Source organism: Homo sapiens, chromosome 16, assembly GCF_000001405.40.
Source record: "Homo sapiens chromosome 16, GRCh38.p14 Primary Assembly".
Classification (NCBI taxonomy): Eukaryota; Metazoa; Chordata; class Mammalia; order Primates; family Hominidae; genus Homo; species Homo sapiens.
In genome coordinates this window covers 88,775,174-88,789,472 of record NC_000016.10, presented here as the reverse complement: position 1 = coordinate 88,789,472, position 14,299 = coordinate 88,775,174, and the positions used below count along the sequence as shown (strand labels likewise).

The window sequence follows — 14,299 nt, the reverse complement described above, 5'->3', positions numbered from 1 at the left end:
ACACACAAGTTCATCCCTGTTGTAGCGTACATCAGAGTTTCATTTCTTTTTATGGACAAATAATATCAGATTGTATGAACAGACCACATTTTGTTTCTACACTCCATTAACAGACTCTGGGGTTGCTGCCTCTTGAAATTATTATTTATTTTATTACTTTTTTTGAGACAGGGTCTTGCTCTTTCACCCAGGCAGGAGTGCAGTGGCATGATCTCAGCTCACTGCAATCTCCACCTCCTGGGATCAAGCGATTCTCCCGCCTCAGCCTCCCGAGTAGCTGGAACCACAGGCATGCGCTACCATGCCCGGCTAATTTTTGTATTTTTAGTAGAGACAGGGTTTCACCATGTTGGCCAGGCTGGTCTTGAACCCCTGACCTCAAGTGATCCACCCACCTCAGCCTCCCAAAGTGCTGGTGTTGCAGGTGTGAGCCACAGTGCCCGGCCAAAATTATTATTATTTTTGAGACAGGGTCTTGGCCTGTTGTCCAGGCCGGAGTGCAGTGGCGCCATCACTACTCACTGCAGCCTCCACCTCCTGGGCTCTAGAGATCCTCCCACCTCAGCCTCCTAAGTAGCCGGGACCACAGGCAGGCACCACCACATCTGGCTAATTTTTTTTTTTTTTGAGGCGGAGTCTCGCTCTGTCACCCAGGCTGGAGTGTAATGGCATGGTCTTGGCTCACTGCAACCTCTGCCTCCCGGGTTCAAGCGATTCTGCCTCAGCTTCCCGAGTAGCTGGGATTACAGGTGCCTGCTGCCACGCCTGGCTAATTTTTGTATTTTAGTAGAGACAGGGTTTCACCATGTTGGCCAGGCTGGTCTCGAACTCCTGACCCTGTGATCCACCCGCCTCAGCCTCCCAAAGTGCTGGGATTACAGGCATGAGGCACCATGCCTGCCTGGCATGCCTGGCTAATTTTTATTTTTTGTATAGATGGGGTCTTGCTGTGTTGTCCAGGCTGGTCTCCAACTCCTGGCCACAAGCCATTCTCCTGCCTTAGGCCCCCAAAGTGTTGGGATTACAGACGTGAGCCACCACACCCAGCCTGAAATTAATTTTTAAGTATAGACAAGTAATGGTGACTATGTTATCATTGGGGAAAAAGTTACAACCTGCATGATAAAGCTTAAAGTCCCTGTGACCCCTCTTGCCCTGGCTTTTCCTCTCTCCCAAGGGGACCTGACCATTGTTGCTCTCCCAAGACTAAGTCACTGGCCGGGCATGGTGGCTCACACCTGTAATCCCAGCAGTTTGGGAGGTCAAGGCAGGCGGATCATTTGAGGTCAGGAGTTCAAGACCTGGCCAACATTTTGAAATCCCATCTCTACTAAAAATACAAAAGTTGGCCAGGTGTGGTGGCACACGCCTGTGATCCCAGCTACTTGGGAGGTTGAGGCAGGAGAATCACTAGAACTCAGGAGGCGGAGGGTGCAGTGAGCCGAGATTGCTCCACTGCACTCCAGCCTGGACAACAGTGGCAGACTTTGTCTCAAGAAAATACAATAAAATAAAAAATAAATCACTGTTTTAAACAGTGACAAAAATAAAAAGCAACAGCAAGTTGAGAAAGGGCTCCCAGCTGTGGGTCAGTGGGACAGGAGTGACTTTGGACTTGGAATCTGGAAAGCTGGGTGCAAAGGCCGGTCTATTCCTTTGGCAAATGGTTATCCCGCTCTGGCCCTTAGCGTCCTCTTCTGCAACAGGGGTTGAGTTAGAACACGGTCCAAATTCCTGAACGGGCAGTGAACTGGGCACAGGTGGGCTCCCCTGCCCTTGCCCGCCCCACCTCTCCCTGGCTGGCAAGCAGAGATCTTTTTCAGAGTATTTGTCTCCATTTTGCTAATTTTATTTTGTGAATAAGTGAATTATGTATGAAGCAAAATATTAAAACAGCACCAAAGGGTATAGGTGAAGACCAGGTCTCCCTCCCACCCCAAGTGGGTGAGCGTGGCCCTGAGTGTAGCTGCTTGCTTTTCCCAATTGTTAGCACTGTAACTTAGCAATTGTTCCTCCTTGATAACAGAGCAATTGCGGGATTCTCTCTAACCGCTGCTACAGAGTGCCATTGTATCTTAGCTTCATGTTGATACAAAACACCTAGCCGGATTCTGTTTTTTACCTGCTGTGTAGCACTCCACTGTGAGACACGCTATCATTTATTTGACAAGCTTCTGTGGGCAGAGTTTTTCTGCTTTTTGCTGCTTGAACAATTCTAGGACACATACATCCTCTACCTTTGCAAGTCCATCTGCAGGGCAAGCTCCCAGACTTCCCCACCTCTGCAGCAACTTTTCAAAGCCTGACCAGAGGGTGAGACTTGCAGAGAAAGTAAATCAGCCTTTTTTTTTTTTCTTCTTTGAGATGGAGTCTCATTCTGTTGCCCAGGCTGGAGTGCAGTGGGGTGATCTCGGCTCACTGCAAGCTCCGCCTCCCGGGTTCACGCCATTCTCCTGCCTCAGCCTTCCGAGTAGCTGGGACTACAGGCGCCCGCCACCGCGCCCGGCTAATTTTTTGTATTTTTAGTAGAGATGGGGTTTCACCGTGTTAGCCAGGATGGTCTCCATCTGCTGACCTCGTGATCCACCCGCCTCGGCCTCCAAAAGTGCTGGGATTACAGGCGTGAGCCACCGCACCCGGCCTATATCAGCCTTTAAACACTAGACTTCCCATGAAAATCTCCATTTCTGGGTGGTTTTTTTTTTTTTAATGGAGTTTCGTTCTTGTCACTCAGGCTGGAGTGCAATGGCATGATCTCGGCTCACGGCAACCTCTGCCTCCCAGGTTCAAGCGATTTTCCTGCCTCGGCCTCCTGAGTAGTTGGGAATACAGGCGCCTGCCATCACGCCCGGCTAATTTTTGTATATTTATTTATTTATTTATTTATTTATTTATTTATTTATTGAGACGGAGTCTGGCTCTGTCGCCCAGGCTGGAGTGCAGTGGCGCTATCTCGGCTCACTGCAAGCTCCGCCTCCTGGGTTGATGCCATTCTCCTGCCTCAGCCTCCCGAGTAGTTGGGACTACAGGAGCCCGCCACCACGCCCGGCTAATTTTTTATGTTTTTAGTAGAGATGGGTTTTCACCGTGTTAGCCAGGATGGTCTCGATCTCCTGACCTGGTGATCCACCCGCCTCGGCCTCCCAAAGTGCTGGGATTACAGGCGTGAGCCACCGCGCCCGGCCTAATTTTTGTATTTTTAGTAGAGACGGGGTTTCACCATGTTGGCCAGGCTGGTCTCGAACTCCTGACGTCAAGTGATCCCCCGACCCCCTACCCCCTTGCCTCAGCCCCGCAAAGTGCTGGGATTACAGGCCTGAGCCACTGCCCCGCCATCTTTTTTTTTTTTTTTTTTTTTTGAGCTGGAGGGTGTGGGCTTGTGCTGGGCTCTCATGAGTTGCCAGTGCCTTGAGGCTCAGTGGCCACAGTCCCCCCAGCCCCACTCCCTGCCTTACGCAGCTGAGTTTGAGAGCCATGAACTGAGCCCAATTAAACGGTGTAGAGCCCTTTGCCCTCTTTCTGTGCCCATCTCAAGGGCAGACGAAGGCCAAACTGACGTGGCCTGGGTGAGGGTCCCGAACACCCTGGACTCAGACCCTACCTCTCCGTGGCAGGGCGCCGCGGCAGCAGGTGCACAGGCCGTGGCTCTCACTCTCACCGTCTCACGCCAGAGCGACCCGGGCAAAGCCGCGCGCGGTGGCCGGCGTGGCTGGGAGCAGCCCCCGAGCCCCCGTCAGACCAACGCGGATCGCGGCACTGCTGCGACCCGAGCATCCCGCGTGCTCCCTCCGGGACCACTAGGCCCGGCCGCCGCGGGAACTCCGAGCCTCCCCACGGTCCCCAGGGGGCGCTGCGTGCTCGCGCCTCGGGGAGCAAAGCGAAAGTCGCTCGGGCACGCGGGGTGCAGTTGCGCGTGGGGCGCTGCCTGGGGGAGCCAGAGGCCCCGGGACCCCTTATGTAGCGCCCGGGCCCCAGCCGCAGCCCACCCAGCGAGAAGCGCCCCTGCCCACCGCCGCGCACGCTCGGAGCCGCGGGGCCAAGACTGCGGGAGGGGAGGGGTCCGCTCCGGGCCAGCGCCAGTCGGGGGTCTCCAGGCCCCAACGCACCAGGGCGGGCCGGAGGCGGGACGGGCCGCGCGGGACAGCGGAGGGGGTGCCTGGGCGCGCCGGGCCGTCGGGGAAGCGCGGAGGCGGGCACGCCGGGGAGGGCGGGAGGGGGCCGAGCTTATAAAGGCCCGCGGGCGGAGGAGGGCGGGAGCCGCCGTCCGGCCCAGCTCGGCCCCAGTGAGCCGAGCGCTGCGCTCCGCCGAGGGGCAGGGCGGTCGCCTGAGCGAGCGCGGGCCCGGGACGTCGGCACCGGCGGGGCGGCCGAAGGAGAAGGAGGAAGAGGAGAAGGCGGCGCGCGGGTCCCCGCGGGTCAGCCATGGCGCGCCGGCCCCGGGGCCCCCGCACCGCCCCATAGCGCCGCGGCGTCCGCTCGGTCTGGGCCGGGCCCTGGGCCCTCCAGCCATGGAGCCGCACGTGCTCGGCGCGGTCCTGTACTGGCTGCTGCTGCCCTGCGCGCTGCTGGCTGGTGAGTGGGGGGCGGGCGCCTGGGGGCGACGGGAGGGGGCTGCGTCTCGGCTCCCCACGGCCTGGACACCGGACGACGCCGGCCGGGGCGAGGGCTGCGGGCGAGCGGGCGCGGAAATTCCCAGGGACGCGCGACCCGGGCGCCCGCATTCCTGAAGCATGAGCGCGCCAGGCGGCGGCGGGGCTCCTGTCCCAGGGCCGGGCTGGAAGGGCGGCGGCGGCTGGGGGAGACGGCACCGCGTGCCCACGGGGGCGGTCGAGCGAGCGCCGGGCATAGCGCGGCTGGCGTCTCCGCCGGGGCGCTGCGGAGAGGAGGCCGCCGGGCGAGGCGGTGTTTGCCCCGGTGGGAAGGGCCGCGGCGGTGGTGGGGGGAGCACGAATCTCTTTTTCTCTTTCGGGTTTAAAAAAAAAAGCGCAAAGTTGCATCAGGACTTCCTGACAATCTGGGAGAAGGCGGGCTTCCTGCCTGGAGCTGTTTAATTTGGAGCTTCCCGAGCCCAACGAACGTCCGTGCCCAGGGCCCAGCCCCGCTCACCGCTGCACCCCCCTCTGCCGGACTGAGGCGGTCCCACACTTTGGAAAAAAATAGTGTGGGTTCCTCCCTGGTCCTCCCTTGCCCTACTGGGCTCAGTTTCGCAGGGGCGGGGGCCGGCCTCTGCCCTGGTCTGGGGGAGGGGACACCCCCGGAGGCTGTGGCCTGGTGTCAGGGCGGGGCAGGGGTCCCCAGTCCTGGCATCTGTGTTCCCTGCTTGCCGGGCAGTGGTGCCCCTTTCGCGAAGCACACCCGGGTGGCTTGGTGCTGCACGGCCTGGCACCCCTACCCTTCCCCGACCCTGGCCTAGCCGGGACCCAGGGTCCGCGCCCTCCGCCCGGGGGCTCCCCACGTGTGATTGATCTGGGAAGCAGTCGGATGGAATTAACCCACGGACAAGTGGGACGGTTTGCATTGGGAGTCCGCCATGGACACGGCAGGTGGGGCCTTTTGATTGTAAAAGCCCTTTCGGAGCCCTTGCCTCGCTCCAGGTGGGAGCTCGCCCAGCGCTAGCTTTGGGGATCTAGAGCCGCCTGCCTGAGGCTCCCAGACAGACTGCGTTTTGATCGGTCGCACAGAAAGGTGGTGAAACTTGGGGAAGATTTTCTAGACAGGAATCAATGAAAACCATTGAGGCTGGAGAGGAGAGGTTTTGAGCAACTCTCTTCAGTGCGGTCAGCCCTGTGTGGACTGGGCAGCCTGGGACCTGCTCCCAGTGCAGGGTCAGATGGGCCGTAAACAGGGCCCGGCTGTGTTCCTTCCTGTGCCTTGAAAACAAGCAGGACAGCCTGGCACAGAGGCAGAGTCTAGAGCTGACAGGCCTTAGAGAGGGAAACAGGAAAGCTTCTGAAACGTCCCGTTCACACTGATCGTTCCATTTCCTCTTGTGTCTGAGTGGGAGCGGGTGTCCTCCCTGCAGGGAATGCCCCCCCTCTCAGATGGCAGCTGCTCCTTGGGCAGAGTTGGCAATGTTTTTCTTTAAATGACCAGATGGTAAATATTTTCATGTCACAAAATCTTCTTCTTCTGGTATTTTTCCAGCCATTAAATGTAAAAGCCCTCCTGAGTTCATGGGCTGTACCTAAACAGGTGTTGAGCCCGATTCTGTGGCACATGTGGTTTGCTGCCCCCTGGGCATTGGTCAGGGGGCCTGGGTTCTGCCTTCTCGATTGCTATCCGCGTGGGGGATCTGGGGGAGGGATCACTGTTCTTCTTGCTTTTGGCCTCCTTGGGGAGGATGGGGAGGTAGCCCAGGGGTGCTCACCCAGGCCCCGTGTCAGTCTTCTATGAAACTTTTAAAGAATAGTGATGACTGACTGTCTGTCTGTATGGTACTTTCCTTAAACCTAAAACTGGTCCCAAATAAAGTCTCTTAATTTGAAAGATGCTGAAGCCCGGGCCATACCCCACACTGATTCTGTGTCTGGGGATGGGGCGTGGGGCCTGGGCCTCACTCAGTGTTTTCTCTCAGTCACCTGGGGGAGATGGAAGTGGAGCCGGCCAAGAACCCTGCCTGCCTGCCTGCTGGCCGGGACTCCTGAGTCAGGCTCTCTGGCCCTGGGGTGTGGGCAGCTCCAGATGGACCCGCGATGTGCAGGTTCAGCTGGCCTGGCCGGAGGTGGGACACTGGCTTTGCTGTCTTTGGAGTGCCCCCTCCCTCTCTGGCGAGCTTTGGCTGGAAGCAGTTCTACCGTGTTTTGGAAATGAATGAGGCCTTCAGAAGGCATTAGTCAGTGTGTGCCTGCGCTGGCTCAGACAGTGCCTGGTGAGGGTTTGAGTCATCCTGGGGTGCCCCTGGCCCCCACGCCCTCCCTCTCCAGTGCAGGATCATTACCCAAAAATCTGGCAGGGAGCTGCCCCACCCACAGGGAGCAGGGGCCTCCTTCAGCAGTCTCACCTAATGTTGCTGGAGCCTTGGGGGATCAGGGCCCATCTCTTCTAGAGAGATGTCAGGGCAGGGCTGGGCGCGATGGCTCACACCTGTAATCCCAGAGCTTCGGGAGGCCAAGGTGGGAGGATTGCTTGAGCGTAGCCATTCGAGAGCAGCCTGGGCAACGTAGAGATCCCCATCTCTATGAAAAATATTTAAAAATTAGCTGGGCATGGTGGTAGTGCACCTGTAGTCCCAGCTACTCAGGAGGCCAAGGTGGGATGATTGTTTGAGTCCAGGAGTTGGAGGCTACAGTGAGCCATGATTGTATGACTGCACTCCAGCCTGGGTGACAGACCCTGTCTCAAAAAAGAAAAAGGAAAAAAAAGGGCAGGACATTTGTGATTCTGATAATATGGGACCGCACCTCCAGTTCTATCAGTGGGAAATCTAGACAGGGCTGCGGAAAGCCAGCTGGTGCGAGAGGAGCCACCGTGTCACTGACTGTGGGACACCCACGTGGGCTGACAATATGGCTTCTGCTTTTCAGGGTGCCTCGTGGCACAGCCTAGGGGCACACCCACGGCCGGCAAGCTGGGCGTCACCTCCTTCAGGCTGATTGTCACTGAGAAGTGTCACCATTTAGCATGAGGGATGCTGCCTCCTTTTTCAGAACATTGTCACCATCAGGGTCTCACCACTCCTGGGAGGCGGCCGAGAAGCTGGGGAACAGCAGGCACTCGGCTCACAGTTGCTCAGCAGTGCAGACCCTCTGAGCTGAGCATGGCAGAGTCACCCTTCGGAGGCCTGTGCCCGGGTCTCAGGACCTGCACAGAACCCTGGCCTGTCCCATCCGAGGGTGCTGGGAAGAGCATGGCCGTGGCAGAGTAGGGTGGGAGCTGCTTTCCTCTGTGGCTTGGGGGCCCCTTCTGAGCATCAGCTCCCTGGTGTGACAGAGGGGCGCACTCTGTCCCCATGCTGGGCCTGGAGGCTGGATGAGTCAGCAGGAGAGCCTGGGGCCTGCCTCACAGCACCAAGGGCTGCAGGTGTGAGTGTGCACATGTGTGCGTGTTTGGGGAAGGGGCCAGGGACTGCCCAGGAGCTGAGGATGGGTCACAGCGGGTGCTCGTCCCGCAGCGGGTCACTGGTGCCCAGGACACAGGGAGCTCCAGCCCCAGCTGCCAGGGTCCCACAGAGAGGAAGTTTCCTCTGGGGGTGGGTGGGGGCGCACAGTCTCTGATCCTGGCCCCAAGGCAGCTTCCTGGGCGGTGTCTCTCCTGTGCTGACTCGGCAGTGCATTTGCTTTCGGTGCTCAAAGATGAAGGGGAACCACCGTGGGCCTTGACGGCCTCATCTGCCCGCTGCAGCCCACTCCTGAGATGGGACCACCGCAGTCGTCAGGGTCCAGTGAGAGCCGCATCTTGCAGGAAGCCATTCCTGGCCTCTCTGGCCTCAGAAATCCCCTTTTCAATTCAACAAAATGTTAGTCTTCTGTTTAGCTATTTTAGAAATAGACAGTTAGGCTTTTTTCTCTTTTTTCTTAAAGACAGAGGCTCACTCTGTCGCCCAGGCTGGAGTGTAGCGGCGTGATTTTGGCTCCCTACAACTTCAGCCTCCAGGGCTCAAGCCATCCTCCTGCCTCAGCCTCCTGAGTAGCTGAGATTACAGGTGTGTAGCACCATACCTAATTTTTGTATTTTTTGTAGAGACGGGGTTTCACCACTTTGGCCAGGCTGGCCTTGAACTCCTGACCTTAAGCGATCTGCCCGCCTCAGCCTCCAAAAGTGCTGGGGTTACAGGCATGAGCCACCGCGCCCGGCTGACAGTTAGACTTTTGCTTCTTTGTTTATATAAGCTTTTTCTTCTGGTTCCAAAAGCAAGTTTGCCCTTCCTTGTGGTAGAGAATCCTAGCTCACAGAGCAGTTTAGAAGCCAGCACAGTATCCCACACACACATCTGGCATGGACAGACCCTTCCTTGCTGGGTGTGGGTCCTGTGTTCTTCTGAAAGGCAAGCTGTTCCCAGCCAACCCCTGCCCCTCTCTGCCTTAGCCTGCCTGGAGGCCTGAGTCTCCTGGGTGACTGTGAGGTGGGACCCCCCCTTCCCCTACCCCCACCCACATCCTCTGTATCTGCCTTCTGTCCTGCTCTTGACCTTTGAGCTCCTCTGCTGGCTTCAGGGTGCGGCTGTTGAGCCTATTTTTTGGATTAGGACTCTGGGGTGAGGGAAGTTAATTCACACACCCAAGATCACACTGGTGGGAAGGGACAGGCCCGGGGTGAAGGCTTCTCCTCTCCTTGGCGGTTGAGTCCCACACCTGCTGGCCGAGGCACCTGAAGGGGACTTGGGGTCCAGGGTCACTGGGAGGACGGGGGCAGGCAGAGGGGTGGCCGACCTGGTGGCGGCTCGTGGGCAGCAGCCGACCCTATCTTGCTCTGAACGTGTGGGGCCCTCACCCCCTTCTCTGGGTCTGGGTTTCCTCCCCTGTAAGTGACACCGTAAAAGCTTCACAGCCGCTTCCAAGTCTCAGGTCTCTCGGGCTTTGGATCTCACACCCAGGCTGGGTGGGGGTAGGGGCGGGACAGCCGTCCCCCCCGGAAGGCTCAGAATTCCTCGCACAATCGTGGGGCCAGGAGACCCGCAACACAGGCTTTCCCAGCTGCGCTGAGTGCCGCGGTGGCCGGGGGTCCGTCGGGCCTCCATGGAGCTGAGGGGAAGGGGCCACTCACCGCCTGGTCCCGGAGCACACAGGGCAGCTCCCAGGAGCACAGAGGCTCCTTGGGACCTGTGGGGCTGTCGGCCTCCCTCATGCTGCACACACAGCGCGTCCCCAGGGGTGTCTGCAGCCCAGCCCATCCCACTGCAGATTCCCGACCACTCAGATTCATTCATGCATCCTCTCACGCCGGTCCTGTGGGACAGAGCTCTGGGCAGCAGCCAGAAGTCCAAGTTCTGGTTCAGGGCCAGTGGAGGTGGGTGTTGGGGTGGGGCTGGAGCTCCCTGCTCTCCCTCCCAAGCTAGCCAGGAAAGGAGGTTGGGGGCCCCGCACGGTCATTGCTGTTTATTCACAAAGCGCGATGCTGAGCACAGGCGGGGAAAGAAAAGTGCGATCAGTGCCAGGAAAATGGGGCTCCCCCGACGCCGTCCAAAATGGGATCCCTTGCCGGGCGCGGTGGCTCACACCTGTAATCCCAGCACTTTGGGAAGCCGAGGCAGGTGGATCACCTGAGGTCAGGAGTTCGAGACCAGCCTGACCAACATGGCAAAACTCCATCTCAGCTAAAAATACAAAAATTAGCTGGGCATGGTGGCGGGCACCTGTATTCCCAGCTGGGAAGGCTGAGACAGGAGAATCGCCGGAACCCAGGAGGTAGAGGTTGCAGTGAGCCACAGTCGTGCCACTGCACTCCAGCTTGGGGGCTTGGGGGACAGCAAGACTCCCTCTCAAAAAAAAAAAAAAAAAGTGAAGTCGTAAATCAGATTAAATTCCCTTTTTAACCCTTTGAACCTCTGTCCTCCCCTGTTCCCAGCGGGAAGCCTCTGGTGAACGCGCCATGCACCCCACCTGCCCCCGCTCTCTGGGTCTCTCTCCCAGCTGGAACGGCCGCTTCCCCAGGTGCCTTCCCTGGGCCACAGCCTTGTGCCTCGGCGGCTGCTGGATGCCTGGGTGTGTGGGTGGCTCCCAGTGTGTGGGATGGCACACGAGCCTCTCGCCCTTCTGTGTGGGGTCGCACACCCACCGCAGGCCGTATTTTTGCTCACGTTCATGTTTCTCCACGGTGGACGCTGGGTTGCAGGGACCCTTCCTGTGTGCGGGTGAGGATCTGGGCAGCTGCTGGTGCCGGGCCCATGGGGACGCTGACCGTCCCGGGTGCCGGCTCTGAGGTGTGCAGTGGACGGCTGTCCTGCCGGGCGCTGCCAGGGCCCCTTAGGCCGACGTGCGTGGCCACCCGATTCCCCGCCGTTGTCTCAGGAACCTTTGCCGAGTGGGGTGGATCAATTTTTCGGGTGTGTTTTAATAGCATAATTACAGGGAGTATTTCAGGCTCCCTCTGACGGGCCGGCAGGGTTTGGCTGCCGGCTGTTTACCAGGCTCCAATCTGCACACTATTTTTCTGTGGGTATATATAGCTGGGGCTGCTTCTCCTTCCTCAGGTTCAGGCTAAAGAGGGACAGCAGCCGCCTCAGCCACCCCCTGTGGTTTCCTTTGCCTGTGGATGGGCGGCTAAAATGGGCCCAGGAAGAGTCAAGAACAAGGCCGGCTCTCGGTGCCACAGCTCTACCCCCAAAAGCAGGAAGGGGGCTCGGGCCATGCCCATCTGTGAGCTACACCGGTCCGGGAGCGGCATCAGGCAGGGGAGTCCTGGACCCCCGCAGTGCTGGGGTGTGTTTGTCCGCCCTCCCTCCCGTGTGTCTAGAAGCCTCCAGCCTCGGGGAAAACAATGAAACTCAACTGTGACTTAAACAGATTCCCAGGCCCGCAGGAGCTCCCGGAGGCTTGTGGCTGTGGCGAGACCTGGAGGGCCATGCGGGAGGGACAGACGCAGGTTTGCGGAGGCCGCCTGCCCAGGAGGGGCGTCAAAGGAGGGGACAGATGTGGGTTTAGGGAGGCCACCTGCCCGGGAGGAGCCTCGAAGGAAGGCACAGGCGTGGGTTTGGGGCTGCCTGCCCTGGAGGGGCCTCAAGGACCCCAGGTCTGGTCTTGGTCTCACTCACCTCCTGGACCCCCCAAGGCCTGCAGTTTGCAATCTGTCGCCTGGGACCCCCACTGTCTGCCTTTACGCAGCTCAGCCACCACGCGGCCCTCGCTCCCTCATTTACTTGATTTCTGTTTATGGTTAAAGTACCGTTTAAAACGACACATCATTAAAGCAACATGAAAGGGAGTTTTGAAAAGGGAAGCCATCGTCCATCCCACTGCCCCTGCCTCAGCGGGGATTTACTTTTCCTTTCCTGTCTGCGGGCCAGTGACAATGAGGACCCCGCAATGTGTCTGCGGGCCAGTGACAATGAGGACCCCGCAATGTGTCTGCGGGCCAGTGACAGTGAGGACCCCGCAATGTGTCTGCGGGCCAGTGACAGTGAGGACCCTGCAATGTGTCTGCGGGCCAGTGACAATGAGGACCCTGCAATGGGCGGCCTGTAAGGCTCTGCCCTGGCCTCCGCTGCCTTCGCTTTCTCCCTCCTTGGTGGGTGCACGCCCTTGTGCTTTTCCTAAAAGAGCAGGTCCTCCGGGCATGGTGGCTCACGCCGGTAATCCCAGCACTTTGGGAGGCCGAGACGGGTGGATCCCAAGGCCAGGAGTTCAAGACCAGCCTGGCCAACATGGCAAAACCCTGTCCCTACTGAAAATACAAAAATTAGCTGGGTATGGTGACAGGCATCTGTAATCCTAGCTACTCGGGAGGCTGAGGCAGGAGAATCACTTGAATCCGGGAGACGGAGTTTGCAGTGAGCCGAGATCACACCATTGCACTCCAGCCTGGGCAACAAGAGCGAAACTCCATCTCAAAAAAGAAGAAGAAGAAAATCCTGACACTTCAGCCTGGTGCAGGCCCTTCCCTCCTTCTAGTCCCTGCCAAGAAGTGAGCCGGGCCCAGATCTCCTGCCGGGCGGGGAATGAGCACACACATTCCCCTCTTGGGACAGACAGCAGCAGCAGCCCTGTTGCACACATGAGGACGTACAGGCTCAGGGGCCGTGGGTGGCAGAGAGGCTATCAGCGCCGGACTGGCCCGCCCCGAGCCAGGGTCCAGCCCCACAGTCCTGTCCCCAAGCCCTGGCCCTTCTGCGGTCACTCCCGTCTGCTGAATCCCCTACTCTGCCCCTGGTGTGTGGCCCCCCAGTTCCCTCCTGTGTTCATTCCCTGCTAACCTCCCGTGGCTTCGCCTCCCCAGATGCCCTGAGCACACAGCCTCTCCCCTTCCTCCCCTCCTAGATGTGCACATAGGAGCCGCCCAAAGGCTGGGGCAGCTAGTGGGGCCCCTCCAAGGGAAGCTGGGCCCCGGGCAATGCCCTGAGCCACCAGGTCCTGGCCCTGCGTCTCATCCCTTCTTTTTTTTTTTTGAGACAGAGTCTCGCTCTGTCGCCCTGGCTGGAGTGCAGTGGCCCAGTCTGGGCTCACTGCAAGCTCTGCCTCCCAGGTTCACGCCATTCTCCTTCCTCAGCCTCCCGAGTAGCTGGGACTACAGGCGCCCACCACCACACTCCGCTAATTTTTTGTATTTTTAGTAGAGACGGGGTTTCACCGTGTTAACCAGGATGGTCTCAATCTCCTGACCTCATGATCCACCCGCCTCGGCCTCCCAGAATGCTGGGATGACAGGCGTGAGCCACCGCGCCCGGCCTCATTTGGTTCCTTCTGTGCACCACAGTGTGGGATCTCGGGTCCTGGGTGGCACGTGTTTAACCTGAAAGGAAACTGCCCCTGCGCTCCCCAGCTTGTAGCCCGTGGGCCTGGCTCTGAGGCCCCGACTGCCCCACGGCCTGTGCTGCGCATGCTGGAGCCAGGCTCCGGCTCTGGTTGGCGCCTCCCGTGGCTTTAATCTGCAGTGACCTGGGTGCTTAACGAGGGCCTTTGCCTCTGCGTGTGCACTGCCTTCTTCTGAGGAGTCTCCTCAAGTCTCCCAGCTGTTTAAACAATGGGGTCTTTTGTCTTTTGACCTGTTGGTGCCATCAGCCAGCCTCCTGCACATACTCTCCCTACCCTTGGCTGCCACTCCTGTCCTGCCCTTCGCCATGTCTTTTTTCTTTTCTTTTTTTTTTTTTTTTTTGACAGCGTCTTATTCTGCCACCCAGGCTGTAGTGGAGTGGCACGATCTTGGCTCACTGCACCCTCCGCCTCCCTGGTTCAACCGATTCTCCTGCCTTAGCCTCCCAAGTAGCTAGGACTACAGGTGCCCACCACCACACCCGGCTAATTTTTGTATTGTTAGTGGAGATGGAGTTTCACCATTTTGGCCAGGCTGGTCTCAAACTCCTGACCTTAGGTGATCCGCCTGCCTTGGCCTCCCAAAGTGCTGGGATTACAGGCGTGAGCCACTGCGCCGGGCCCCCGCCATGTGTTTTTAAGAGCAGGCATTTCATTCAGATGAAGCCCGGACACTCTTGGGGGTTCTGCTCAGGGGCTCTACCTGCCACTGAACGTCCTCTCCCTGTGTGGGTGGCCATGGCATTCAGCCTGTGTTGGGCCTTGTTCTGCCTGGCTACTGGCCGCTAGGTCTGCCCCGGCATCCTCTGTGTCCTGTGTGGGCGCCTCTGCCTCCTGCTCCAGCCTGTGCCAGGCAATCCTGCTCACCTTCCAGGAGCCAGGCCTCTCCCCAGGGC

The 14,299-nt window shown here is 58.8% G+C and overlaps 1 protein-coding gene across 1 annotated transcript in view, besides 9 other annotated features; it reads left to right on the top strand.

Annotated features, from left to right (window-relative positions):
• Positions 3,755-4,084: a silencer, noted in NCBI's record as "silent region_7876". NCBI's record gives its function as "represses an Ori minimal core promoter by ATAC-STARR-seq in GM12878 lymphoblastoid cells {active_cell/tissue: GM12878}" and the evidence as "EXISTENCE:reporter gene assay evidence [ECO:0000049][PMID:35858748]".
• Positions 4,109-5,022: an enhancer, noted in NCBI's record as "H3K27ac-H3K4me1 hESC enhancer chr16:88850859-88851772 (GRCh37/hg19 assembly coordinates)". NCBI's record gives its function as "activates a minimal SCP1, AML or CMV promoter by ChIP-STARR-seq in naive H9 embryonic stem cells {active_cell/tissue: H9 hESC(naive)}" and the evidence as "EXISTENCE:reporter gene assay evidence [ECO:0000049][PMID:30033119]".
• Positions 4,125-4,604: a silencer, noted in NCBI's record as "silent region_7875". NCBI's record gives its function as "represses an Ori minimal core promoter by ATAC-STARR-seq in GM12878 lymphoblastoid cells {active_cell/tissue: GM12878}" and the evidence as "EXISTENCE:reporter gene assay evidence [ECO:0000049][PMID:35858748]".
• Positions 4,253-14,299, top strand: part of PIEZO1 (piezo type mechanosensitive ion channel component 1 (Er blood group)) — a 69,883-nt gene continuing 59,836 nt past the window's right edge. Inside the window, exon 1 of the mRNA NM_001142864.4 lies at positions 4,253-4,572. Coding sequence (NP_001136336.2) covers positions 4,509-4,572 — 64 coding nt within the window. The 5' untranslated portion in view covers positions 4,253-4,508. The remainder of the gene's footprint in view (positions 4,573-14,299) is intronic.
• Positions 5,105-5,424: a silencer, noted in NCBI's record as "silent region_7874". NCBI's record gives its function as "represses an Ori minimal core promoter by ATAC-STARR-seq in GM12878 lymphoblastoid cells {active_cell/tissue: GM12878}" and the evidence as "EXISTENCE:reporter gene assay evidence [ECO:0000049][PMID:35858748]".
• Positions 7,505-7,584: an enhancer, noted in NCBI's record as "active region_11372". NCBI's record gives its function as "activates an Ori minimal core promoter by ATAC-STARR-seq in GM12878 lymphoblastoid cells {active_cell/tissue: GM12878}" and the evidence as "EXISTENCE:reporter gene assay evidence [ECO:0000049][PMID:35858748]".
• Positions 7,595-7,964: an enhancer, noted in NCBI's record as "active region_11371". NCBI's record gives its function as "activates an Ori minimal core promoter by ATAC-STARR-seq in GM12878 lymphoblastoid cells {active_cell/tissue: GM12878}" and the evidence as "EXISTENCE:reporter gene assay evidence [ECO:0000049][PMID:35858748]".
• Positions 7,985-8,124: an enhancer, noted in NCBI's record as "active region_11370". NCBI's record gives its function as "activates an Ori minimal core promoter by ATAC-STARR-seq in GM12878 lymphoblastoid cells {active_cell/tissue: GM12878}" and the evidence as "EXISTENCE:reporter gene assay evidence [ECO:0000049][PMID:35858748]".
• Positions 8,165-8,294: an enhancer, noted in NCBI's record as "active region_11369". NCBI's record gives its function as "activates an Ori minimal core promoter by ATAC-STARR-seq in GM12878 lymphoblastoid cells {active_cell/tissue: GM12878}" and the evidence as "EXISTENCE:reporter gene assay evidence [ECO:0000049][PMID:35858748]".
• Positions 12,539-13,289: an enhancer, noted in NCBI's record as "H3K4me1 hESC enhancer chr16:88842592-88843342 (GRCh37/hg19 assembly coordinates)". NCBI's record gives its function as "activates a minimal SCP1, AML or CMV promoter by ChIP-STARR-seq in primed H9 embryonic stem cells {active_cell/tissue: H9 hESC(primed)}" and the evidence as "EXISTENCE:reporter gene assay evidence [ECO:0000049][PMID:30033119]".